At 55.7% G+C, this 23,946-nt stretch overlaps 1 protein-coding gene across 13 annotated transcripts, besides 5 other annotated features; it reads left to right on the plus strand.

Moving 5' to 3' along the window:
- Positions 2,415-2,915: an enhancer, noted in NCBI's record as "H3K4me1 hESC enhancer chr6:41601984-41602484 (GRCh37/hg19 assembly coordinates)". NCBI's record gives its function as "activates a minimal SCP1, AML or CMV promoter by ChIP-STARR-seq in naive H9 embryonic stem cells {active_cell/tissue: H9 hESC(naive)}" and the evidence as "EXISTENCE:reporter gene assay evidence [ECO:0000049][PMID:30033119]".
- Positions 2,916-3,416: an enhancer, noted in NCBI's record as "H3K4me1 hESC enhancer chr6:41602485-41602985 (GRCh37/hg19 assembly coordinates)". NCBI's record gives its function as "activates a minimal SCP1, AML or CMV promoter by ChIP-STARR-seq in naive H9 embryonic stem cells {active_cell/tissue: H9 hESC(naive)}" and the evidence as "EXISTENCE:reporter gene assay evidence [ECO:0000049][PMID:30033119]".
- On the plus strand, positions 5,187-22,413 carry MDFI (MyoD family inhibitor). Of its 13 annotated transcripts, none has more exons than NM_001300804.2 (6): positions 5,187-5,442; positions 6,309-6,544; positions 6,908-6,994; positions 14,295-14,477; positions 17,788-18,012; positions 21,488-22,413. In NM_001300804.2, exons 3-6 carry the CDS (start codon positions 6,919-6,921, stop codon positions 21,742-21,744), a joined length of 741 nt encoding a protein of 246 aa, NP_001287733.1. In that variant the 5' UTR covers positions 5,187-5,442; positions 6,309-6,544; positions 6,908-6,918; the 3' UTR covers positions 21,745-22,413. The 13 variants fall into 13 exon arrangements, with proteins under 13 accessions (NP_001287733.1, XP_011512927.1, XP_047274733.1 ...); XM_011514625.3 differs by having other exon boundaries at positions 14,300-14,477; XM_047418780.1 differs by lacking the exon at positions 5,187-5,442 and adding an exon at positions 5,749-6,183 and having other exon boundaries at positions 14,300-14,477.
- Positions 8,710-9,290: an enhancer, noted in NCBI's record as "H3K4me1 hESC enhancer chr6:41608279-41608859 (GRCh37/hg19 assembly coordinates)". NCBI's record gives its function as "activates a minimal SCP1, AML or CMV promoter by ChIP-STARR-seq in naive H9 embryonic stem cells {active_cell/tissue: H9 hESC(naive)}" and the evidence as "EXISTENCE:reporter gene assay evidence [ECO:0000049][PMID:30033119]".
- Positions 12,960-13,945: an enhancer, noted in NCBI's record as "NANOG-H3K4me1 hESC enhancer chr6:41612529-41613514 (GRCh37/hg19 assembly coordinates)". NCBI's record gives its function as "activates a minimal SCP1, AML or CMV promoter by ChIP-STARR-seq in primed H9 embryonic stem cells {active_cell/tissue: H9 hESC(primed)}" and the evidence as "EXISTENCE:reporter gene assay evidence [ECO:0000049][PMID:30033119]".
- Positions 14,932-15,916: an enhancer, noted in NCBI's record as "H3K4me1 hESC enhancer chr6:41614501-41615485 (GRCh37/hg19 assembly coordinates)". NCBI's record gives its function as "activates a minimal SCP1, AML or CMV promoter by ChIP-STARR-seq in naive H9 embryonic stem cells {active_cell/tissue: H9 hESC(naive)}" and the evidence as "EXISTENCE:reporter gene assay evidence [ECO:0000049][PMID:30033119]".
- Positions 22,414-23,946: the final 1,533 nt, after the last annotated feature.

Consider the following 23,946-nt stretch of genomic DNA (forward strand, 5'->3'; position numbering starts at 1 on the left):
TGTCTTCAATAACGTTAGATTACCCTAAAAAACCTACAGACTTGAGGCTGGGCGCAGTGGCTCCCAGCATTTTAGGAGGCCAAGGCGGGCAGATCTCGAGGTCGGAGATCAAGACCATCCTGGCTAACACGGTGAAACCCCGTCTCTACTAAAAATACAAAAAAAATTAGCCGGGCGTGGTGGCGGGCACCTGTAGTCCCAGCTACTGGGGAGGCTGAGGCAGGAGAATGGCGTCAACCTGGGAGGAGGAGCTTGCAGTGCAGCGAGATCGCGCCACTGCACTCAAGCCTGGGTGACAGAGCGAGACTCCATCTCAAAAAATAAATAAATACACAAATAATTAAAAAACACCTACAGACTGGAAACAGGACCACAGAGGTGGATGCAATTCTCTCTTCCCATCCCCAACAGCACTCCCCAGATGCCTGAGTTTCCACCCTTGGAGCAGTCCTTCCAATTACGGCAAATATTCTTCAATGGGGCTTTCTGGGGTGTCCAGGAATCTCCCCAGCTTGTATTGGAAATGCTACATTTTCTTAAGGGGGAGGTTTTTGGAGAGGGTGCTTATAGCTTTCATCAGATTTTCAAAGAAATGTGGGCTCCAGGAAAAGCTTAACCAGTAGGGTAAGGCAAGCCTGTTTGTTAAATACATATATTCCTTCAGTAGCACATCATTGTCTCCATAGTGGGGTTTAGGAAGAAACATATATTTACATTTACTTTTATTTATATTAGGTTCATTTACACTTACTTTTCATCTCACTTCTTTACTTTTCTACTTTGATCCAGCTTTTTCTGGGGAGTGTTATGGATTGAATTGTGTAATTTCCTGCAATATGTATAAAAATCCAAAAGATATGCTTAAGTCCTACCTCCCGGTACTTCAGAATGTGACCTTATTTGGAAATAGAGTCCTTGCAGATTTAACCAGGTTAATATGATCCCTAATTCAATATGACTGGTGTCCTTACAAAAATTTGGACATGCCGGGCACAGCGGCTCACGCTTGTAATCCCAGCACTTTGGGAGGCTGAGGCGGGTAGATCTCCTGAGCTCAGGAGTTTGAGACCAGCCTGGGCAACATGGCGAAACCCCATCTCTACTAAAAATACAAGAGTTAGCCGGGCATGGTAGTGCACGCTTGCAATCCCAACTGCTTGGGAGGCTGAGGTGGGAGGATCACTTGAGCCTGGGAAGTAGAGAGGATGCAGTCAGTGGAAATCATGCCACTGCACTCCAACCTGGGCAACAGAGAGAGACCTCATCTCAAAAAAAAAAAAATGTGGACTCAGACACAGACATATATAGAGAGACACTGATGTGAGGACACACAGGGAGAGACAGCCGTGTGACTGGAGCAATGCATCCACAAACCAAGGCGATTCAAGGAGTGCTGGCAAGCCCCAGAAGCTAGGAGAGACAGGGAAGACTTCTCCCCCAGAGCTGTCAGAGAGAGCACAGCCCTGCCCACAGTTTCATTTTGAACTTCTTGCCTCCAACTCTATCAGGCAATAATAAATTGCTACCAGTTTATGCCACCCAGTTTTTGATACTTTGTCATGACAGACCTAAGAAATTAATAGAAGGAGTTATTGCTTAATAGTTAGTTTCTGTTTGAGGTGGTGAAAAGTTTTGGAAATAGATGGTAGTGCTGTTTGCACAACATTGTGATATAATTATTACCACTGAATTGTACACTTAAAAATTGTTGAAATGGCCTGTAATCCCTGCATTTTGGTAGGCTAAGACAGGAGGATTGTTTGAGGCCAGCAGTTTGAGACCAGCCTGGACAACTAAGTGAGACTCTATCTCTACAAAAATAAAGTAAAATAAAATAAAATTAGCCAGACATGGTGGCATGCACCTGTAGCTCATTGAGACAAGGTCTCTAAATAAATAAAATAAAATACCATAAGTATGAGGTTAAGGGTTTGTAAATAAAACTTAGTATAACAGAAATGTTGCCCTTTGAAGCTTCCCTCCCCTGGGGAGGGACGTGGTGGGCAAGAGTTCCCATTTGCTGACAGCCAACGCCTTTGCCACGTTTAAACAGGAGAACTAAAGGCTTGGAGAGTTCAAGTGATTTGCTCAAAATCACATAGGGTGGTAGAAGTGATTGAGCCAGGATGCAAATTTGGTCTCCATGACACAGATCCAAGCCCCATTCTTCCTATATACCCTGCCAAGTTCCTGGTACCCCAACACAATGAGACAGAGGAGGGATGCAGAGGGCCATGTCCCTATCTTCAGCAACTAGCTTGGGGAGGGGGGCAGCACATGAAAGAGAACATCACAGTCCTTTCTACACGCTGAAGGCCATGCCTGGGATTGGGGTGAGTGCTGTGTTTGGCTTCAGAAAACATGGTCCAAGTCCCAGCTCCACCCATTACTAGTGGGTAAGTCTCTTCACATCACTTCATTGTACCTCAGTTGCCTCATCTGTAAAATGGGGTTAATAACTATGCTGACTGTTGTAGGCATTAAAGGAAATAACAAATCTAGAAGTATCTGGCAAAGGCTCGTCATATAGAACACGCTCAACACATGACCGCTGAAATTGACACGCCACCGTCATCCTCCATCACCAGGGGTAGCAGGGAGGGCTAGAATCAGGCATGGGGCCCAGAGCACCCTTCATCCTACTGCACATTCTTTTCTTCAGGAAGGGGGAGGGTTAGAGCCCCATTCTCTGCTCAGTGCCCATCCGAGATGGGGGTAGAAAGAAAGAGCTGGGGGCTCTCAATCCCCACCCAGCAGCTTCTCCTCACCCCACACAAACACGCCCCAATTTATGCATCCCTCTTCCGGGAGGGTCCCATTCTCCCAGTGTCCTGACCCCATTCTCCAGGCACTGAGACCACAGTTGTGGTCCAGCTGCAGAAGCCAGCCCAGCAGACTGGCCCTCTGCCAGAGACAGGAAGTGGGGGAAGAGCTGTGCGTTCTGCTGGCCACCAAGGAGGGGTGGGCGCCAGAGGCTGGAGCTGGGCCAGACCTTGTGGTCTTGCGGAATGAACTGCAAGGGAGGAGTTGTGAGCTGGCCTGCTCCACTTTGAAGGGTATTGTGAGGGGCAGAGCCCGTGCAAGGCAGTTCTGTCCCCTTTGTTGCCTGGAAGGCTCTGGGGTGGAGAGTGGGGAATAAGCCCTGGAAGGCAGGAAAGAATACTGAGGTGGGAGTCTGGAAAGTTGGGATTTGGTAAGGTTTTGCCACTAACTCACTACATGACTTGCATTAGCTCTTTCCCCTCTCTGGCCTCTGTTTTCCAACCTCTGAAATTGGAAAATGTATTGCACTCTCTGTGGCAGACACATCTCTAGGGAATACACTAGTAGACAAGCCAGTCCCTGCTCTCAGGGCCTTTCACTCTACCAACAGATGAGCAAATATAGAATAGGCCAAGTGCTGAAAAAGTCTGGGTAGAATAATAAAATGGTGTTGGGGGCAGAGAGTGAGAAGTCTGGGACGGCCTCTCTTAGAAGCTGACATAAGCAGAAGAAACGAGGAAAGGGCCAATGTGGGTATCTAGGGGATGCACATTCTGGGCAGAGGAAAGAGCAAGGGCAAAGGCCCTGAGGCGAGAAGGTGCCTGGCAAATTAACCGAGAAAAGGAAGTAGCATGGCTGGCAGGGAATAAGTAAGGGGAGATGAGGGCCAAGGCAGGTGGGGCCCAGTTCATGGAGACTGAGGGACTTTGCGCTTTATTCTGAACTGATCGGTGGGCCCCGGGGAAGCTGGGCCTGGGCTTGGGTGCAGAGCCCACTTGGTGCTGTGCATATGTGTGTGTGTGACAGTGTTGGGTGGGGGAACACCTTTGATCTCCCCTCATTTACCCTGGCTTCCTGGACAGGTCCTTCAGGAAGAGACAATAACAGGGCCGGGTCTAGGGTGAGGCATGTGAAACCTGGAGTGAATGAGGCACTTGGCTCAGGTTCAAAACTTAAGGGGGCATCAAAAAACTCAGTAATTAAGATAAAACAATATTTTCCTGCAATATGTATAAAAATCCAAATTAATGCCAAAAAGTCTATGATAAACAAAATGCCAACATTTTAGATAAAGACAGGATCTGACCCTGAACTTGCGTGATTAATTACCTTAATCCTGGTCCTGTTTCCAATACAACTTTATTTAAAAAAAACAAGGCAGCTGGCCCAAAGAACTGTAGTTTGCCCATTTGGTATATTAAAATATTGCCTTAAAATATTCCTCATCAGTCTGGGCACGGTGGCTCATGCCTGTAATCTCAGCACTTTGAGAGGCCAAGGCAGGCAGATCACTTGAGGTCAGGAGTTCCAGACCAGCCTGGCCAACACGGTAAAACCCCGTCTCTACTAAAAAAAATTAGCCAGGTGTGGTGGCAAGCACCTGTAGTCCCAGCTGCTTTAACTTGGGAAGTGGAGATTGTAATGAGCTGAGATCTCACCACCACACTCCAGCCTGGCGGACAGAGCAAAATCCTGCCTCCAAAAAAAAAATTCCTTATCTTGGCATCCCCGAAATCTTGCACACCAGGTGAGTGTCTCACTTACCTCACCCCAGTCCTGGTCCTGGGCCCCAGTGCTCATCCCTCCTGAGGCTGAGAGGCAAAGGGATTTCCCCAAAGAAATATAGTAGATGGTGGGTCTGGAAACTGGGCTCCCATGCCAGGCCTCCAGCCTGGCCATCATATCCTATCATGCTCTGAACTGGAATGTTGATTTTAATGTGTTGATTTTTAAAAACTTTTTATTCAAGTATAATAGTCATACAAACAAGTGCCTGCATCATAAATGTTCAGCTTGCTGCATCCTTACAAAATGAGCACACCTGTATAACCAGCATGCGTGATTAAATTTAAAGCATAATTTACATTTCCAACAAAACAGACATTAGTACTGGGCCAGATTCAGAGGACTTTTGAGATCAAGCAGGCGACTTGGAATAGTAAGGCTCCGGGACTGAGCTGATGCAGAGTTTAGGGGCCCTGGATTGAGACGAGAAAGCAGGGGGAGGGGTGCAGCACTGAGGTCTGGGGTTCGGGAGGGGGCCCTATACGCGGGAGGAAACGGAGAGAGACGGTGAGGATTGCCTTCGGAGGTGGGTGAGGCCCAGCGTGCGCGCCCAGGTAAGCAGGTAAGAATGCAGCAGCCGCCAGGCCCAGGCGCGGGCGCGTCCCGTCCGGGTGACTCAGCCCGTGCCAGGAAGCGGGAGTTGGCTCAGCTCTCCAGAGCTCCCGGACAGCAGCCGGATCCCGGCCGGCTCCTGGGGCACTAGGACAGACCCCCGCGGCTAGCAGCCCGGCCTGGGGGGCGGAACACTCTCTTCTTGTCCCGCCCCACCTTCCTCCGGGCCGCAACCACCCCAGCCCATCGCTGGGACGTGGCCGCGGGTGCCGAGAGCGCTGCCGGCGCCGTGGGGGCCATCCCGGTCCTGGCCCCGACGGCGCCCCAGGACCTGCGATAGCCGTAAGTAGCGACTATGGGGGCTAGGAGAGTCCAAGAAGTGGGGAGCTGGGACGCCCGGCCTCCTGCGTCCCAGCTCTCCACTTCCAGACCCGGCTGGACTCGGGACTAGAAAAGGTGGCCTGGTGCCGCCGCTGCCTTCCAGTGTGCTCACTGGCCCTCGTGGCGGGGAGCCCAGACGCGGCTCCTAGGCGGCCCTAGACAAGTACGGCCGAGACGCTGTCACCCCAGGGGGCTGCCCCACCTGAGCATCATCCCACGGGCCCGCCCAGCCCCACCTGGAGAGCCGCAGGCTCCAAAGTCTTCCCCATTCTCGGGGACCAGGTTCCGGGGTCGCGCTGAGGGCCCCTGAACCCTCTTGGACTGCCTGGCAGCGGCTTCTTCCTACCACCACGGCTCACCATCCAGACGCGCCGCCCGGCTGGCCCCACCGGGAGAGGCTCCCTCCCTCCCCTTTCTCCCCGAACCCTCATCTTAGAAGCCCTCGGATTCAGTCTGGATCCCAAAGAAGGGCTGAATTCGGAGGACCTCTCTTTGCCCCCAAAGTCGGTTTTCTGACACACATTCCCACGCACAGCTGGTAGGGGCAGGAGGGTCGAGGATGCTCTGGGCTGCTGCGGCACAGGGCAGGCTGGTTGGTCACTAACCGGATTTCCCGGACAGACAACTCTGGCGCTGTGGGCGGGTGGCCTGGGAGCCCAGATCCCTGTCCCTGGCTTAGGACCCCGGGAGGAGACCGAGGGGGTGGGTAAAACGTGACTGAGAAACTTGATCGCGCCCATCTTTGGGGCAAAGAGATTTGGAGGCCGCAATTATTCAGACAGTTCCACGAAGTGGTTGAGGTTTCTCTCTTTCTCCTGATTTTCCAGAAACTTTTGCAGAGTTTGGACAGGCAAAGGAAAACGTGCAGCCCGCGGATCTCCGGGCCTCAGAGAGCAGGGAGTCGGGGAGACTGAGGCCCCGCTCCGAGAGCGCGGAGGAAGCGCGCCCAGCCGGCTTCCTGTGGGGGCTCGGGCCTCGGGCGCCCCGCGGACAGACGTGTCCGGCTCCTGGCTGGGCCAAGCCCGGCGCGGGGGAGGGGACCCGCAGAGGGGCGACTGAGAAGGCGAGGAGGGGGCGGGGAGAGGGTGGGCCAGGGAAGAGGGGAGGGGAGAGGCGAGTAGGGGAGGAGCGAGGGGGGCTGGAGGGAGAGAAGGAAGAAGGAAGGGGCGAACGGCGTGAGCTGGCGCCGAAATGGGAGAAAGCAGCGAGTGAGAGGGGAAGGGGCGCCAGGCGAGCACCCGGGAGCCAGCGGGACCTGGGCAGGGGCGCCCGGAGCAGGCGCGCATGGCGGGCCCCGCGCGGGGATCCGGCTGGAAGAGAGCGTAGCACGGCTCGCACGAGTGAGTGGACGTGGGAGGCGCGCATCTGCGGGGGAATCGCCCCTTGCCCGCCTCCGGCGCCGCCCGCTGAGCCCTGTTTTCCGCAGGTCCGGGGCCGATGTACCAGGTGAGCGGCCAGCGCCCCTCTGGCTGCGACGCGCCCTATGGAGCCCCCAGCGCAGCCCCGGGCCCAGGTAGGACCGGGAGTGGCGAGCGAAGCTGGACAGGGGCGGGTGGGCGGCTGAAGGGGCCAGTTATTAGTTCTCCTCTCCGTCCCCAGACGCGGGGAGACCGTTCCAGGGAGCTTGGTGGGGGTAGGGACGAAAAGTCTGGGTTTGAGGACTTGGTCCAAGGAGAGTAGGGGGCTGGGCGAGGGAGGCAGGGCCCTGAACAGAGGCTGCGGCTGCGCCAAGTTGGCTCCAACTCCCCGCAACTCCCGACACCAGACACACACACACACACACACAAACACACACACATACACTCCGCGGTGTCTGTCCGTCTGGGATTTGTGTCTCAACTGTTTCTGCCCAGTGTGTAAATATTTGTGGGGGCCTGGTGTGGGGGAGGGGGCGTTGTCTGAATCTTTCTCTACTTCCCTTCCCCCAGCCCAACCAGAGCCCAGCGCTTCCCGAAAACTTTTGTCTGCCGCGAGCGGCTGCAGGACCCAGCCCCTCCCCTCTTTCTTGCCATCCCTTCTCCCTCGCCTTCCTTCCCTCTCGTGCCGGCCAGTCCCCGCCGCCCCTGCCCTGTGCACACACACGCACCCCAACCCAGTGTCTTCAGCCCAAGTGAAATGCCCCGTCCCGCGCCTGGCGCCGTCTGTAACCTACCCGCGATTCCTGGGGGAGCCTCTCACGCCAAGTACGGTTTGTGACTCCCTGAAGGGGTTTGGAGTAGGGGCCTCGCCGGCCCTGGTTCTCAGTCCCTTCCCCTCACTGGCCAGATGCCTAAGCCGAAGCTCCCAAATGGAAGTCCGGGTCAAGGAGAAGTCAGGAACCTCTGGGATGTGTTCAGGGCCAGGGGAACCGCGTGCAGGAGTGTGGACCCGGATTTCATAATTGGAATCTCCACTGTCTAAGTCGTTGCCTTCCTCCCCACCAGCGCCATTCCCCCTTTCCCCTCTTTGACTCTGAATAATGAAGGTCTGTTCCTGAACCTCTGACACGAACTCCCTGCCTTGCCTTGGACAAGCTCCTTCCCTTCTCTGGCCTGAGCCTCCACATGCGCCCTCGAAGCCGGCCTGCCTGCCTGTTCTAGGAGGCCCCTCTCCACTCCCCACCTACTTGGTATGGACGCCTAGTTGTGGAGGTGGGGGGTCCTCTAAACCAGAGTGAGGACAAGTGGAAGATGTCTGGCCAACAGCCAGCACATAGATGAGGCCAGTGTGTCTACAGCCCATCTTGGCCAAGCCTCAAATTGCCTGCTGTCTCTGTGGGGCCCCTGCAACGGGGCCTTCTGCAGGATGAGCGCCTCCAAGAATTGGACTCCTTCAGCCCGGAGGGACAGCTGGGGGCAGGGCACTTGGAAGGGTCCTTCTCTGTGTCTGGGAACCTTCCCTGTCCCGCTGGGCCTCCTTCCTGCCTCCTCCCTTCCTCAGCCTCCTGCTCTCCCATCCTCTTACTCTCTCCAGCTTTCTCCCTCCCCTTATCCATTTTCTCTGCTCTCCCTCCACTACCTCCTTCCAAGATCCCCTTCCTTGTTGAAGCCATTCTCAGCTCCAGCAGCAAGAGGAGAGGGCTAACTGCACACAACCGGGGCCAGCGTGGGCAACTGGGAGGGTTAAGCTCTGGGCTGTAACTTGAGGCCCCCCAGCACCCCAGCAGACCCCCTCCCCAGCCTGGGCTGGGCCAGACAATGCGGCTTTCATAACTCAAGGCTTCGCTCTGCCACCGCCTTGGGAGAATGAGCCTGCTGCCCAGGAAGCCCAAACCGCAGGAGACCCAGCCAAAACCCCACAGATGCCTGAATTTGAGACCAGAATCCCCCACGCTTTACTCCCTGAGTGCTGACAGAACAGCAAGGCCACAGCGCTGCCCCAGGGGCTCTGCTGGCAGGACAGCCAGGGAGCAAGTCGGCCTCCTCCCTCAGCCACCCCAGATGCAGACAGGGCACAAGGGGACTCAGGGCAGATCTGGTAGGGGCAGGTGGCCAAGCCCCCACACCCTTGGCTCTCCTAGTGGCCTCCTCCCCACCCACCCCTGAGAGCCCCGGGAGCCTGGCTCCCTAGCCCACAGGCACATTTTTGCCCAGCATTGGGGCGTCACATTCCTGTTCATGGTTCTAAATTGAATTTCCTGGGGATTTGGAACCTTCAGACCTAAAATAAAACCAACTTGTCCCAGACTAACTGGCCAGCTCAGGCCCTCTTTAGTTTTCAGCTTGGTGGCCTGGGAGTGTGACCATTGGATTCGCATCAACCATGTGTGCATCAAAGGAGTCCACCCTCTCTGACTTTCTTGGGGTTCAGGTCCAGGTGCCACCCCTAGTCTTCATTTCTTTCTCTTTCTCCTTCCCCTGACAGGGGCATTCCAAACTCCAGAAAGTACTCCCCAGTAGGCATTTGCCGAGTGCCCCCTGGGGATGCAGAGATGAATATGGACACCACTCCAAGGGAGTGAGTTGGGAGGGCTGTAGTCTGGTTGAGAAGCCGGGATTTCACTAGCAAATTGTAATTAACAAGAGGGAACACTGGAGCTAAATTCTTAGCAACTGGGTCAGAGAAAGCTGTCTAGAGGAAGAGGTGAAGTTTGAGCTTGGTCCAGGATGAGTTGGGTTTGGAGAGTGGGAGGGGTAGGATCTTCTGGTCAACAGGAATAATATAAGCATGGGTGGACTGGTCAGAAGATCCGGCAATGGCCCAGACCATGGGGAGGCCGGTCTGCGTGGAACACAGGATCCTGGTACATTGATAGATTGAAGGTCCGGACTGAGGCCTTGAATGCCAAGCCAAGGAAAGATTGAGGTGTGGGGTTCCAGCCACCACTCTCTGACCATATGAGGTTCTGGCCTTCCCTCTCCAGAGACGGTCAGAGTTCCAAGTGGGAAGCCCAGATCCACGGTCCACAAAGACAATGACGAGGGCTAAACTTAAGGCAGTAGGCCGTGGAGCTCTGGAACACAGGCCTCTCTCCACACCAGCCAGGGATTTTTTGGCTGAAACTCCCATGGGCACTGTGCAGGCTTGAAACCATCCCACCGGAAAGAGGTTCCCCCCTACTCCCTGTTGGTCCAGGACCACCCCTCAACTTGGTGGATGGCAAGCAGAGAGAACCCACAGAGTCCTTGCTGAGGGTGTGAGTCTCGGCCTTTCCTCTTGGGCTCATGGATTTAAACATGGCTCTCCCACTCCCATCTGGGGCGTCTTTCCAGAGCTCCAGGCATTTACCAGAATCTTACCCCATGTTAGGAATGAGAGTGTATTGAAGCAAAGGGGCTGTTGCCTTTCCGTATCTCCCCTTTGTAGATAGCCACCCTTGAGAGGAGGAGTACAGGGCTGGGGGCTTCTGCTCGGAGCCAGCATGTGTGGCACCCGGTGCAGATTAGAAAAAGGAACCCCCTTGGTCAGATGGAGCAGGTGCGCAGTTGGGTGAGCAGATGGCACCTACTAGGAGGGCAAGGACTTCAGCCACATCCGCTCACCCCCTTGGCAGGCACCTTCTGCAGTACATGAATTGCACATCCACACGGGGGGCCTCCTTCACCTTTGCTGGCCACCCCCTTGCCTCCTGCCCACCCCACACTTCCACCCTCCAGAAGTTTCTCCCCTGAGATGTTCTCCCCTCTGTGGCTGGACAGCGGTGTCTCTTGGTTACAGAATGGCAAAGTGGGCTCTTGGCGCCTCTGCCCCATCTGTTCCAAGCAGGAGCTGCTTCTCAGTCCACACCTAGGGGTCTGGGCCACCCGGGCAGTGTCTCCTCTGCAGACCAGGTCTTCCTGCAGCTGCTTCTTCCTTTTCCTTCTGCTTCCCTGTCTCTGGATATCTGGCACAGCTCCCTCTTCTGCCCTCCGTGCTGGTTTGCTGGGTCCCCTCTGTGGCCCCTCCTGGCTCCAGAGGTTCTCTGTCCCTCTGTGTGTCTCCAGGTCAGGATTATTGGACTTGGTTTTCTTTCCTTCCTCATTTTTCCTCCACGGTCTGATGCCTGGTAGGCTTTCTGTGGGATGGGCCTCCTCGGGCCTTGGTCTGCACTCTGTAATTTCCTGTTCCCACCAGATCCAAGGTCACCAGCCCTGTAGGTGACTGTCAGGAGAGGCTGCCCAGAGAGCAGAGACACTTTGGGTAAGGCAGGTGGAGATGTGAACTCCAGGCTCCTTAAACCCTCTTCCTTGCCTTCCTCCCTCTCTAACACTGCGGGGAGGAGGGGGAGCAGGGCAGGGAGCAGAAGTCCTGGCTCTCTCTACCATAGGACTCACAGTGTCACCTCTGTGAGCCCTGGTGACCTCAGCAGGAAGCCTGGGAAATGACCACAAGGCCTGTCATGCCCTGCTATCATTCTAGGCTTCCCAGCCTCAACACCACCCCGCAGCATGTGGCTTCCTTGCTCTCTGTGTAGCGGCTCACTCGGGGGTCTTGATTCCTGCTGCTCTTCTCAAAACTCCCCCTCTGTACTGCTGATTGGTCAAGACTCAGTGTGAGTACTGCCTGCCCCAGGAAGCCTGCTTGACACACTCAGCCATCTGGGCTAGGTGCCCGTCTTCTGTGCTTCCACCATTCTTCCAGATGCCCCAGTGTAACTCTTGCACCTCTGGGTATGTAAGAGCCACCAGCCCACCTCTCCCCTAACCGAGAACTCCGAGGCAGTGAGCTGGTCTTTCTCACTCGGGTATACCCAATACTTGTCATATTGCTGGGTGCCTCGTAGGTGCTTAATAAATGTTAAACCACACAGCACAGGAAGGAGGGAAGGAGGGAAGGAGGGAAGGAAGGAAGGAAGGAAGGAAGGAAGGAGGGAGGGAGGGAGGGAGGGAGGGAAGGAGGGAAGGAAGGAAGGGGAAAGGTCAGAAGCCAAACTACTCATTAAAAAAAAAAGAGAGAGAGAAAGGAGGGAGGAAGGAAAGAAGAGAGGAAGGGAAGGAGGGAAGAGTAGTAGGGCTGTGGGTGAAAGGCTCGTGAACAACCCCCTGATGAGCATTTTCTTTCCTCCTTGAAACCCTGTGGCATGAGATTAGGACTGCAAAGTAACCCAACCCTTTCCATGCAAAGTAACCCAACTCTGATAATTTGCCAGGCTGGTAACTGGTGAATGTAGGGCTTGGATCTTCTGCTTCTCACTCAGGTCTTTCTGTCTCATTACACCCTGTGGGAGAGTCAGGTCCCCCAGTTCAGGGCCCAGGGCCATAGCAAGGTGCCTCTGGGGGCCAGGGTCCGGAGCTAGGCAGGCCCCTGGTTTCCTGGAAATTAGGACCCTGAGCCTCCCTTTTCATGGCAACTTGGTCTTAGCCTTCAAGAGCCATATCTGAGCTGGTGTAGACCGGGCTCAGGGCTAGGAGAGGCACCATCTAGCACCAGCGTCTCCACTTGCCTGCTCCTCCTTGTCCAAATCCTCTGATCGTCCAAAAGCTATTTGATTTCCCAATGATTAACCCAGCTAAGAGGGGAGCTCTCAACAGGCCCAAAGAGCAGATGGAGCTGAAAGGAACCCACCCCTGCCTCCGTGGAGCCATGGGCCCCGGGAAGGGTTCCCAGCACATAACTCTCCTGCCCTGCACAAATCCTAGGAGCGCCAGCCCTCCCTCCCCATTGCCCCAGCTCCTGTCTCCAGGCAAGCCCTGTGGTTTTTCCCTGGGCAGGTGAGAGCATGCCTGCTGGGCCTGCCGCCCTCTGTGCTTCCCACATGGGGCCTCTGGGGCGTCCATTCCCCTGGCTGTGGGGGACCAGACCCCTTGGAACAAGGGTCATGAGGGTCACTGAGGGTCATGGCCACAGAAGGCTGTGCTCTGGGCCCAGGGAGGCAGCTGGGCCACAGGATCTTCTCCTCAGCATGCTTCCAACTCCCATCCCCCAGGCCTGCATGCCCAAGCCTCCACTGATCCCTCTAATTACCTCCCTCCTCTCTTCTTTGATCTCTCATCTCCCTCTCTTTGCCTCTCTCCCCCACCCCCACTCTCTCCCTCTCTGTGTCAACCCCTCACTATTCTCTGTGATTGATTCCATTTCAATTCCCAAGACTACCCTGTGTCTCTCTGTGTCTCTGTCTCTGCATGTGCCTCTTTCTGGTCTCTCTGTGGGGTGTGTACTCTTTGGGCTTCCCTGCTGTTTCTCATCATCTCCCTGTCTGCCCGTGTCCCCCTCTGTGTCACTCTGCCTCTCCCCGTGTCCCCCTCTGTGTCACCCTGCCTCTCCTTGTGTCCCCCTCTGTGTCACCCTGCCTCTCCCTGCGCTCTTTTGGCCTCTGCATCTCTGAGTCTCTTGTTTCTGTGTCTCCTTGCTCCTTCTCCCAACATGATATTTGGGGAGGGGGCAGGTGGAAGGCCACCCTCTTTAGACCCCTGTCCTTCCAACTAACTGCATAGGCTGAGGTCTGATGAGAGGCCCAGGCTGCACCCTACACCCTTTCATTGCCACAGCCTGGGCCCGCCCCTGACCCCTGGCTGAGTGTGTGGACGCTCGGACCCCTTTCTTCCTCCCTCCCTCACCTCCCATCCCCCATCCCTTTTCCCCCTGAGCCTAGGGGCCCTAGTCCTGCAGGCTGGGGAGCTGTGGGTTTGAAGGTGGCTCCATTTCTGCCTCCTGCCGCCCCTGCACAGAGCCACTGTAATTACATGTGGCTGCGGTTCACCTCTTCCCCAGTGCTCCGGCCGGCTCCTTGTCCTCCTCCTGACTGTAGCCCCTCCCTGCTCCTCACCCCCAGGTTCCTCTGACTCCTCTATCATCATCCTCTCTGACCCAGTTTCTCCCGTCTCCCTCCGCGCTCTGTATCACACAGTGCTACCTTCTCTGTCGCCTCTGCCCCTGCCCCATCTCTATCTTTCTCTCCATTACTGACTTCCGTGCTATTGCTGCGTCTCACTCCCGTCTCAGGCTGTCTGTCACTGGGTCACTGTGGATCCCTTTTCCGTGCCCAATCTCTCGCAGTCCGATGCTCTATCTCCCTTTACCTCTACCTCTCACTGTCCCTTTGATTCTCCCTGTCACTCTCGATGCCTGTCCCTATCTCTCCGTTGCTGACCGTCCGTCTGTTCTCCCGTGTTGTGTTTCTGCCTCCTCTCCCTACTTCTCTTTATATTCTGCCATCTCTGCCCCTCCCGACACCACATGCACACGTGCACACACTCAAATGCATGCACACCCTTGCTCACTCCCAGATTGTGGTTTGGGAGCTTTCTATTTTGGAGCCCGGTGCTGTTGTCAGCTAGAGTAAGGGCTGCATAACTGATGCAGACAGACAAAGAATGAGGGTTCAGTGGGCATGCTGGGCTGTGGGGCGGGGCCCACGGCTGGGCAAACAGGAAGGCCCCAGGAAAATGGACCTCAGTCATCTGCTTTTTTCCTAGCCCAGACCCTATCCCTCCTTCCTGGGCTGGAGGTAGTAACAGGATCCACTCACCCTGCGGAGGCAGCACCAGAGGAGGGCTCCCTGGAGGAGGCGGCAACCCCCATGCCCCAAGGCAATGGCCCTGGCATCCCCCAGGGCCTGGACAGCACTGACCTCGACGTCCCCACAGAAGCTGTGACATGTGAGTCCTAGGGGGCCAGGAGGTTGGATGGCAACATGTAGGGTTGCACTAGGGAACTCAACCCAAATGGGTCGGCAAAAATGGGTGCACCCGCTTGGCCAGAACCTTGAGTGTGGCAGCACAGGCAGCAGAAAGGGGAAGGGCACTGTCACTGTGCTTTCTGTCAAGGGGAAGACCTCCACTGCAAAGTGACTAGGAAGCAGGGAGTGTGGGCAGGCTCCAGGCAAAATGGCTCAGGACAGAGAGCATGCGGCTACCTGGAGAGAGGCACCCCCTGCCTCAGGAAGAGAGCTACGGGGCTGGGGTCCGGCAGGGAGCCAGGGCCTGATGCATCTCCATCCTTCCGGGAATCAGGGATAAAAGGAAGAAGCCCCCAGTTGCTCTAGGGCGAAAGGAACAAAATTCAGCTCCATTCCCAGGCCTGGCTCGAGTTCTCCAAGGAGGTCCTGGGGGGAGGGAGAGAATTTTCCACCTTCACCCTCAAGAACAGGAGAAGCAACAGCTGGGATCATTTTATAACTAACGAAGATTTGCCCACATCTTTAGACACATTTTTACTTTCCAACTTTCTTTCCCTGAGTGGGCTCACTTGCTCTCCTAATCAGCCTGCAATGAGGCAGCAGGATGGCTACTGCGAAGCCCATTTTAGAGATGAGGAAACAGGCACAGAGAACGGCCCACCCTGGTCCCAAGCTGGGAAACTCAGGTCTCCCGGCCCAACACTCTTTGCAGTGCCTGCCTGCATGCCCAGCTGGCATGGCTGAGCTGGAAGCCTCCTCCAGCCAGGGCATCTGGGGCTAAGCTGGACTCCCTGGAAGTCAGGCTTACTAATCCCACTAGTGCACGGCCCTCGGTCTCCTCCAGCACACCCACTAGCAGAATTGAGAGAAAGAGGTCAGCGCCTTGGCAGTGGAGGAGGGGGTCTGGTGGGAATGGGACAGACACTCCTGTGTCTGTGAGCCCTGAGTGTTTGCTCTGTGACTCAGCCCCCACGGCCATGGCCACAGACAAGCTCTGTGTCTGTCCACGTCGCCCAGATCCTTCAGCTCACCACACACTCCCGCCCTCTGGTCAGTGTGCCCATGTTTCGGCAGAAGGGCAAGGGGCACCGAAGCTGGCCAAGGACTTGGCCCAGTCACCCTGTGTGGGGCCAAGAGGTGGGGGCCTGATGATTCAGGCCTGGCCACTAACCATAGCCTTAACCCTGTTTATCCAGATGCAGGCATCAGCCACACCTCTTGCTGGAGGCTCCCAGCATGGAGCCTCTCCAGAACCCTGCTTCCCACCCTCCCCCGATCCCCCACCTTGTCCTCAGCTCCTTTCTCCCAATCTTCATGCCCTCCCCACTCCACTTCCCAGCTAGAGGACCTTTGGCAAGTTTTCCCCTCTCTGGGCCTCTGTTTTCTCATCTGTGAAATGGGGCCAGTAGTAGATCTATTGCGATGCCTAAAGAAGCTGCTCCACCTACTCACGCCTGTAATCCCAGCACTCTGGGAGGCTGAGGCGGGCGGATCACGAGGTCAGGAGATCGAGACCATCCTGGCTAACACGGTGAAACCCCATCCCTACTAAAAAATACAAAAAATTAGCCGGGCGTGGTGGCGGGCGCATGTAGTCCCTAGCTACTCGGGAGGCTGAGGCAGGAGAATGGTGTGAACCCGGGAGGCGGATGTTGCAGGGAGCCGGGATTGCGCCACTGCACTCTGGCCTGGGCACGGAGCTAGACTCCGTCTCAAAAAAAAAAAAAAAAAAAAAAAAAGAAGCTGCTCCACCTAAAGCTTCTAGCACTGTGCCTGGTACATAACACCAGTTATGAGGGTAGTGATTGTCGTGGTAGTAGCAGCTTATTCCTCAGTCGCTTGTCTCCCAGCCTCTGCCCCCATGCTGGCCTCTGCCCTCTGAGCCCCAGCTCCTAATCTCTAACACTTGCTAGCTGTGTGACCTTGGGCAACTTACTGTACCTCTCTGACACTTGCTAGCTATGTGACCTTGGGCAACTTACTGTACCTCTACCTCTCCGGGACTCAGTTTCCTCATCAGTAAAAGAAGACTAGCAATACTGAGGGGATGCGTGAGCAGCAAGTACTTAGAAGGGCTGGCGTGCAGGAAGCAGGCAGTGTGCAATGTTGTGACTGCTGCCATCACTGGAAGACCCGGCCTCTTCAGCCAAGGGAGGCACCGAGGCCACCCTCCCCTCTCCTTGGGCTCCAGGGCCCCCAAGACATCTCCTACACAATTCACATACACAGACCAGGCCTGGAGGGAGATGGGGATCCAGATCCCAGCTCCTGAGGGACTGAAGTGCCCCCCACATTTACAGAGGGTCCTTGAGGCCACAGGGTCCTGCCCAGGAGTCAGGACCCCTGCACAGCTGAGGGGCCCCAGAGCTCTCAGTGACCCCTCTTCAGTCCCTCCGCACTCCCCCCACCATACACACCTCCCCTCATCTCTTGAGAGCAGAACTGAGCCAGCTGGTTCTCACCCAGAACTGAACATCCCTGAGCGAGGAGCAGGAAGGAATTCGGGGTTTGGGGGGTCTCCAGGGTCACCTTGCCTGTACTCCATTGATAAAGCTGAAGTCTGGTCCCTCAGCCTGCAATGGGGACCCGGGGGTCCTGGCTTCAGGGGTCTCCCCACTGCCCTTCTTCTTGCCTTCTTCCCTCCCTCCTCTCCCAGACCCCTCTGCCAGCTGCCCATAGAGGCAGGATGGGGTTGAGGGTGCGGAGGGCAGAGGCTTGAGTGGAGGCACCAGGTGGAAGGAGCAGGAGGTAGAGGGGCTGCAGTGAGGAGCCCCTGGATTCCAGAGCCAGGCGTTCATCTCCAAACAGATGTTTCCAATAAATCACCCAGTGCGCCAAGGGCAATAACAGCTGGGGGCTTGGCAGAGGCCGAGGTGAAGATTAACTTCTTCACTGCTGCGCTCCCAACCCCAGCCAAACCACCCCTCTTCCCCAGCACTGCCACTGCCACCACTCTGCCAAAACCCCAGGATGACAAGAGCAGGAGAATGGACTTTGTGTGAGGAACAAAGGAGAGGTCCAGGGCTCCGAGCCCCTGCCCTTATACATCTGTCATTTCTGGACTGAGCACTGAACTGAGAGTCAGGAGCTAGGCCCAACTCAATTTCATGGCGTGGCTCTGGACTAGTCATTTCTTCTCTCTGGGCCTCAGTTTCCCCATCTGCAGGATACAGGTCTGGCTGGGTGCTTTGGGGTATATGTAAGAATGCAGCAGGCAGGATTCGAGCATAGCTCTGGGGGCCGAATGACCCCCACCCTTTTCCCATCACACTTTCTCTTCATCTCTCCAGGCCAGCCTCAGGGGAACCCCTTGGGCTGCACCCCACTTCTGCCGAATGACTCTGGCCACCCCTCAGAGCTGGGCGGCACCAGACGGGCGGGGAATGGTGCCCTGGGTGGCCCCAAGGCCCACCGGAAGTTGCAGACACACCCATCTCTCGCCAGCCAGGGCAGCAAGAAGAGTAAGAGCAGCAGCAAATCCACCACCTCCCAGATCCCCCTCCAGGCACAGGAAGGTAAGCACCCATCCCATCTCTCCCTGGGAGAGGCCTCCAAAGCCGGGTTCCTCGAAGCATGACGCATGGGCCCACTGGAGCACCTTCACCAGGCTGTTACTTAGAGATGCAGGATCTCAGCCTCCTTCCACGCCTACTGGATTGGAATCTCTGGTGGAGCTTAACAAGCCCTGCAGGGAACCTGACGCATGACCAAATCTTAGAACCTTGCAAAGTACACCCGTTGGGTAAAGGTGTACCTGCCTTCTCAAGGCCACCTCCCCACCCCACCCCAAACCCCTCCCCATCCCTTCTTTCCCAGAGTTGCTGTGACAAGGAACGGAGCCACCTGGGTTGATCCATCTTAAGCCACTCTGTTTCTGGAAACAGAAATTTTCTGTTAAGGGAGGAAAAAAGAACATGTAGCAGAATAAAATGGTGCCAGGGCAGGGCTGCAAGGTGCAGTAGGAGGTCAGAGGATCCAGACACCCAACCAGCCGATGTGCCTACAACACAAAGATCCTCTGCAGGGCCACAGGGGCAGCCAGTCCCCTCCTCATCAGCCATCAATTGAACATGGCCAACAGCTGCCTGAGCTCAGTGATGGCCTGACCTTTACCTCAGAATGTTCCAGTGATTCCTGTCCATGTGAAGGGACCCTGGCCTGGGCATCTGCAAAACACACTTGCACATAACATGCTCAGAAACCTTCCCACTCTGCAAAGCAGATTCTGCCCAACAGTCTTTTTCCTTTTTTTTTTTTTTTTTTGAGATGGAGTCTTGCTCTGTCGCCCAGGCTGGAGCGCAGTGGCGCAATCTTGGCTCACTGCAACCTCCTTCTCCCGGGTTCAAGCGATTCTTCTGTCTCAGCCTCCTGAGTAGCTGGAACTACAGGCGCGTCCCACCACGCCCAGCTAATTTTTGTATTTTTAGTAGAGACAGGATTTCGCCATATTGGCCAGCTTGGTCTCGAACTCCTGACCTCAGGTGATCCACCCGCCTCGGCCTCCCAAAGTTCTGGGATTACCGGCGTGAGCCACCAAGCCCAGTCCCAACAGTCTTATTTATGAAGGAGCCATTTATTCATTTAAAATGTCCTGGCCAGGCACGTTGGCTCACTTCTGTAATCCCAGCCCTTTGGGATCCACCGAGGCAGGTGGATCACCTGAGGTCAGGAGTTCAAGACCAGCCTTGTCTAAATGGTGAAACCCTGTCTCTACTAAAAATACAAAAAATTAGCCAGGCGTGGCGGTGGGCGCCTGTAATCCCAGCTACTCCGGAGGCGGAGGTTGCAGTGAGCCAAGATCGTGCCCGAGATTGCACTCCAGCCTGGGCAACAAGAGCAAAACTTTGTCTCAAAGAAAAATAAAATGAAATGTCCTAGGCACCTGCTATGTGCTGGAAACCTGGTTCATGACCTCATAAAGCTCTCATGAGAGACGTAGATAGGTAATCGCCATACGATGTGATAAGTGCAATGATAAACTCATGCAGAGGATTACGCAAACACAGGGGGACCACTCACACCAGCCCAGAAATCTGGGGAGGGAATCCTGGGAAGGCTTGGAGGTGATGTCTGAACATGCCTTAAAAGACCAGAAGGAGGCTCCAGCCAGGAGAGCATGCGCACAGAGCTGAGAAATGGCCAGTGTGGCTGGAGGGTGAACTGCCAAAGGTGAGACTCCTAGCAGGCAGGGGTCCTGGGAGGTCCTTACCAACCAGGCAGTAAGCCTAGACTATCTGGAGAGCAGTAGGGAGCCACTGAAGGGTTTTAAACAAGGTGGTCACCTCATTAGATTTACGTTTGAAGATAACTACCCTATCCAGTTTGGAGAGAGATCACAAGACCCTAGTTCCCTCCACACAGGAATGCAGGAGAACAGGGTTAGACCCTCCACAGCACAGTGAACCTCCCAGGGGGCCCCCTGGCCAGGAGAGCTGCACGCTTTGCCCCATGGCCTGGCCCCAGCACACGGAGGGCTGCAGGACGTGGGTTCTAGAGCCAGCAGCCTGGATTCAAGTCCCAGCTCCACCACCTCCCAGCTGGTGCCCAGCGCAGCTTCATGCATTTCTATTCTATTCACTGAGCACCTCTATGTGTCTGGCGCTGTTCTAGGGACTTGTAATCTTTCATTGAACAAAATGGGCAAAGATGCCTGCCCTGCTGGAGCTTACATATCCGGTAGAAGGAGATGACAATGAATATGAGGAAACCGTGTAGTACAGTGGGAGGCGATGTCCTCTGAGGGAAGAAGAAGGCAGTCAGGTAGGGCCGGGCAGGGAGTGTGAGGCAGAGCCAGCCGGTTGCGGTATTGAAGCGGGTGGTGGAAGGCCTCGGTGAGAGGTGGCATTTGGGCAAAGAAGGAGATGAGGGACTCAGCCAAGCACGTGCCTGTGGCAAGATTGTTCCAGGCAGAGGAATCAGCGCCTGCATGGCCAAGGAGCAGCCAGGAGGCTGGCGTGGCCAGAGCAGAGTGATCTGGAGGAGAAGAGTGGGAGAAGAGAACTAAGAGGGCACAGGGACCACACTACAGGGGGCCTCAGAGGCCACTTCAAAGATTTCAGCTTTTATCACAAGCGACATGTGAACCATGGGAGGGGTCTGAGCAGAGGAGGGCCAGGATCCAACAGGTATTTCTAAAGGATCCCTCTGGCTGCGGTGTGGAGTGGAGATGCCAGGTGGCAGTGGTCAAAGGGAGACCAGTAAGCAGGCTGTCGAAGGTGTCCAGGTGAGAGATGAGCCAGGTGGTAGGATTCTGGGTGTAGACTTAACTACTCTCCCTCTCTTTTTTTTTTTTTTTTTTTTTTGAGAGAGAGTCCAGCTCTTGTTGCCCAGGCTGGAGTGCAATGGTGTGATCTCGGCTCACTACTACAGCCTCCACCTCCTGGGTTCAAGCGATTCTCCTGCCTCAGCCTCCCAAGTAGCTGGGATTATAGGCGTGTGCCACCACGCCCAGCTAATTTTTTGTATTTTTAATAGAGATGGGATTTCGCCATGTTGGCCAGGCTGGTCTCGAACTCCTAACCTCAGGTGATCCGCCCACCTCGGCCTCCCAAAGAGCTGGGATTACAGGCATGAGCCACTGGGCCCGGCCGACTTCTCTTAACCTCAGTCTCTTCATCTGTAGAGTGGGGCTAGTAAAGGCCCCTGCCTCATAGATTCATTGGAGGCCTAAATGAATGTAATTCATGCACAGCACTCAGAACAGTGCCAAGAACATGTATCACTCCATATGTTGGTTAAACAAATAAACAGAGGGTGGCTAAGAGCAAGGATGATCCAGACTGCCCGCTCCGATGTGCTTAACTGTCTGTGCCTCGGGGTCATCACCTAGAAAATGGAGCTGTGGGGACGGATTCGTGAGCTTCAGGCACACAGTGAACACTCAGCGTCCCTGCTGCTGCCGCTGCCGCAGGCCCCCACACCCCCGGCTATTTCACACACGCTCATCCCTCCCCTCTCTCACCCGTCCCCCTCTCCACCGCCACCCCGCAGACTGCTGTGTCCACTGCATCCTGTCCTGCCTGTTCTGCGAGTTCCTGACGCTGTGCAACATCGTCCTGGACTGCGCCACCTGTGGCTCCTGCAGCTCGGAGGACTCGTGCCTCTGCTGCTGCTGCTGTGGCTCTGGCGAGTGTGCCGACTGCGACCTGCCCTGCGACCTGGACTGCGGCATCCTGGATGCCTGCTGCGAGTCCGCGGACTGCCTGGAGATCTGCATGGAGTGCTGTGGGCTCTGCTTCTCCTCCTGAGCCTCTGTCGGGGGCTAAGCCAGCCTGGCGCCCCTGCAGATTCCAGCAGGGTCCCTCTGAGTGGGGCCAGGCCCAGGACTGTCACACAAGGCTTGAGAAGCCCCCTCTCCCTGGTCCTCTCCTACCCACCCATGTCCTCTCAGAACCCCAGCCTTGAAAATAGTGGGGGGCACTCAGAGGGGCCACCTCCTCAGCCGTGGGTGGTGGGCCCATGGCAGAGAAGCCTGAACTCTTTACTGGGTTACCAGGTTCATACATTGCTGAGGACCTGACAGGACAACCTAGGGGCAGGGCTGGGGTGGGGACCGCAGGGGGCAGCCAGGGCTGGGGAACACTGTGAAAGTTACTTGGGGAGGGTGGGCCGGTGGGGCCGTAGCTCTCTACCTCTCCCTGCTCCTGGTGCCTGCCTCTCTCCTCCACCCCAGGCTTAGAGGACAGAAAAATGTGAAGAGACGCCCCACCCACCCTCAGCCAGCCCTCTCCAGTCTCCTTTCCTAGGCTTTTTTGGGGGCCTAACCCACGCAGTGACCCCAGAGGGCAGGGCTAGGCGAGAGCCTGGGGTGGGGCGGGAGGGGGAACAGTATGGAAAAGACTGGAAGGGGAAAGGAAGGGAAGGGAGGGAGGGTCTGTTCTATCTGTTGCTGTAAATAAAGATATTTGTCCATCTCAGATTTCCTCAGGACTCATGACTAATTGCCATGGACCCTGACTCTCAAAAGCAAACGCCCCCTACCACCGCTAAAAAGCACCCACATGGGTGAGGCTGCCCTGCCCTCTGGGGGCCCTGCCTCTTCTGCTTTCTTACCCCAGAAACTGCCCTGCCCTTCACGTTCCCCTCCCTTCTTCATGTTTCCCACTAAGGGAAGAAGGTTAAGGGGGTGCTGTCTCCCACCATTATTTCCTTCTTCCCACCAAGGGGAGGGGAAGCCCAGAGGGAAGAGTTAACCTTGGCATGGAATTAATTAACAGCAGATGTGTTCGGGTTTTGATTAATTAATCTCCTGCTGACTTCAGCTTCTCCAGCTCTATCCCATGAAGTCGCTCCAAGGCATAGGTGATGCCCATGACAGTGCCAGAGGGGTGCCTGGGAGGGGGCTACTCCAGGCCTGGGGCAGCCCAGACTTGCCCCTGGGCTTCACTGGAGGCCCAGTGGGGGTCACACACCCAGCCTCAGGCATCCCCCTATTGCCAGGCGTCTGAGAAAGAAGGAAGCCTTGTCAGGACTGCATGGGCCCCTACGGCCATCTGTGGGGCGGCCTTGGAGTGCAGAGGGAAGGGCCTGAGAAGCAATGGCGGCTGTGAGGATCGCAGGGCCGCACTGGGGGCAGCTGGACCAGCACCCCCCACACATATCCTGGACCTGGAGGAGGCCAGGAGAGGTCCAGGGGGCATGAGAGGCTCTGGGACAGTTGGGGCAACTTGGAGAACACTCAGCTGATGAAGGCCTTGAGACGGGGGCTGCAGGGGTATTAGTGGGCACTGCTTCCAGGAATGAAGGCTTGGAGTGGTTCCGAGGGATTCTGGAAGGAAGGAGTGGGGACTGGGGAAAAGGGCCAGATGAAATCCAAACTCTCTTAAGGAATGTCACAGGAGGGAGCAGCCTATGGCCTTGGGAGTGGGTTTCATTGCAGCAGGAGGAGGAGGTTCTAACAGGCAACGCAAACTAGCCCCCCACCCCCTCCCCACTCCATCTCCACGCACACACGCCTCACTTCACCAGCTTCAAGGTTTTCTGACCTCTGAGAGCACACAAGAAATTCAGGACACAGAGAGGAAGGGACCTGCCTGGGGTCTCACAATCAAGCCGGTAGAGGGTCCCCGAGGCACCCCCAGCACTCATGTATCTATTTGTGCGTATTTTTATATATTTTCTTAGTTATTGCCTGCCCAAGGTACGGAAGGTTTGAAAGTCTGATCTGTGCACACACAAGCATTTACATGTATGTGTTTTCTTTTTTTACGAAGATGTGAGGATCCTGTACACACTGCACTGTACCCTGTTTTTCCCACCTGGCCATGTCTTGGGGAGCTTCCTTCCCAGCACATGGAGAGCTGGCTGAGTTGCCCTGGATGGATGCGCCACAGTCCAGGGACCCCCAGCTCTGCTTAATCCGCTCTCAAGCGCTTTGGTACAAACCAGGCTGAGCGAGGCACACCCTTTTGCATGAATGAGCTGTATCGGCAGAATGTTCGTGAATGTGG

This window comes from Homo sapiens, chromosome 6 (assembly GCF_000001405.40).
Source record: "Homo sapiens chromosome 6, GRCh38.p14 Primary Assembly".
NCBI lineage: Eukaryota > Metazoa > Chordata > Mammalia > Primates > Hominidae > Homo > Homo sapiens.

Excerpts from the sequence above, each read along its gene's own strand:
- MDFI (XM_047418777.1), top strand. The coding sequence starts at position 6,919 with ATGTACCAGGTGAGCGGCCAGCGCCCCTCTGGCTGCGACGCGCCCTAT. Across the intron at positions 6,995-14,294 it reads CAGCGCAGCCCCGGGCCCAG|CCCAGACCCTATCCCTCCTT; the intron begins GTAGGACCGGGA and ends CTTTTTTCCTAG. Across the intron at positions 18,013-21,487 it reads CCCCCTCCAGGCACAGGAAG|ACTGCTGTGTCCACTGCATC; the intron begins GTAAGCACCCAT and ends GCCACCCCGCAG.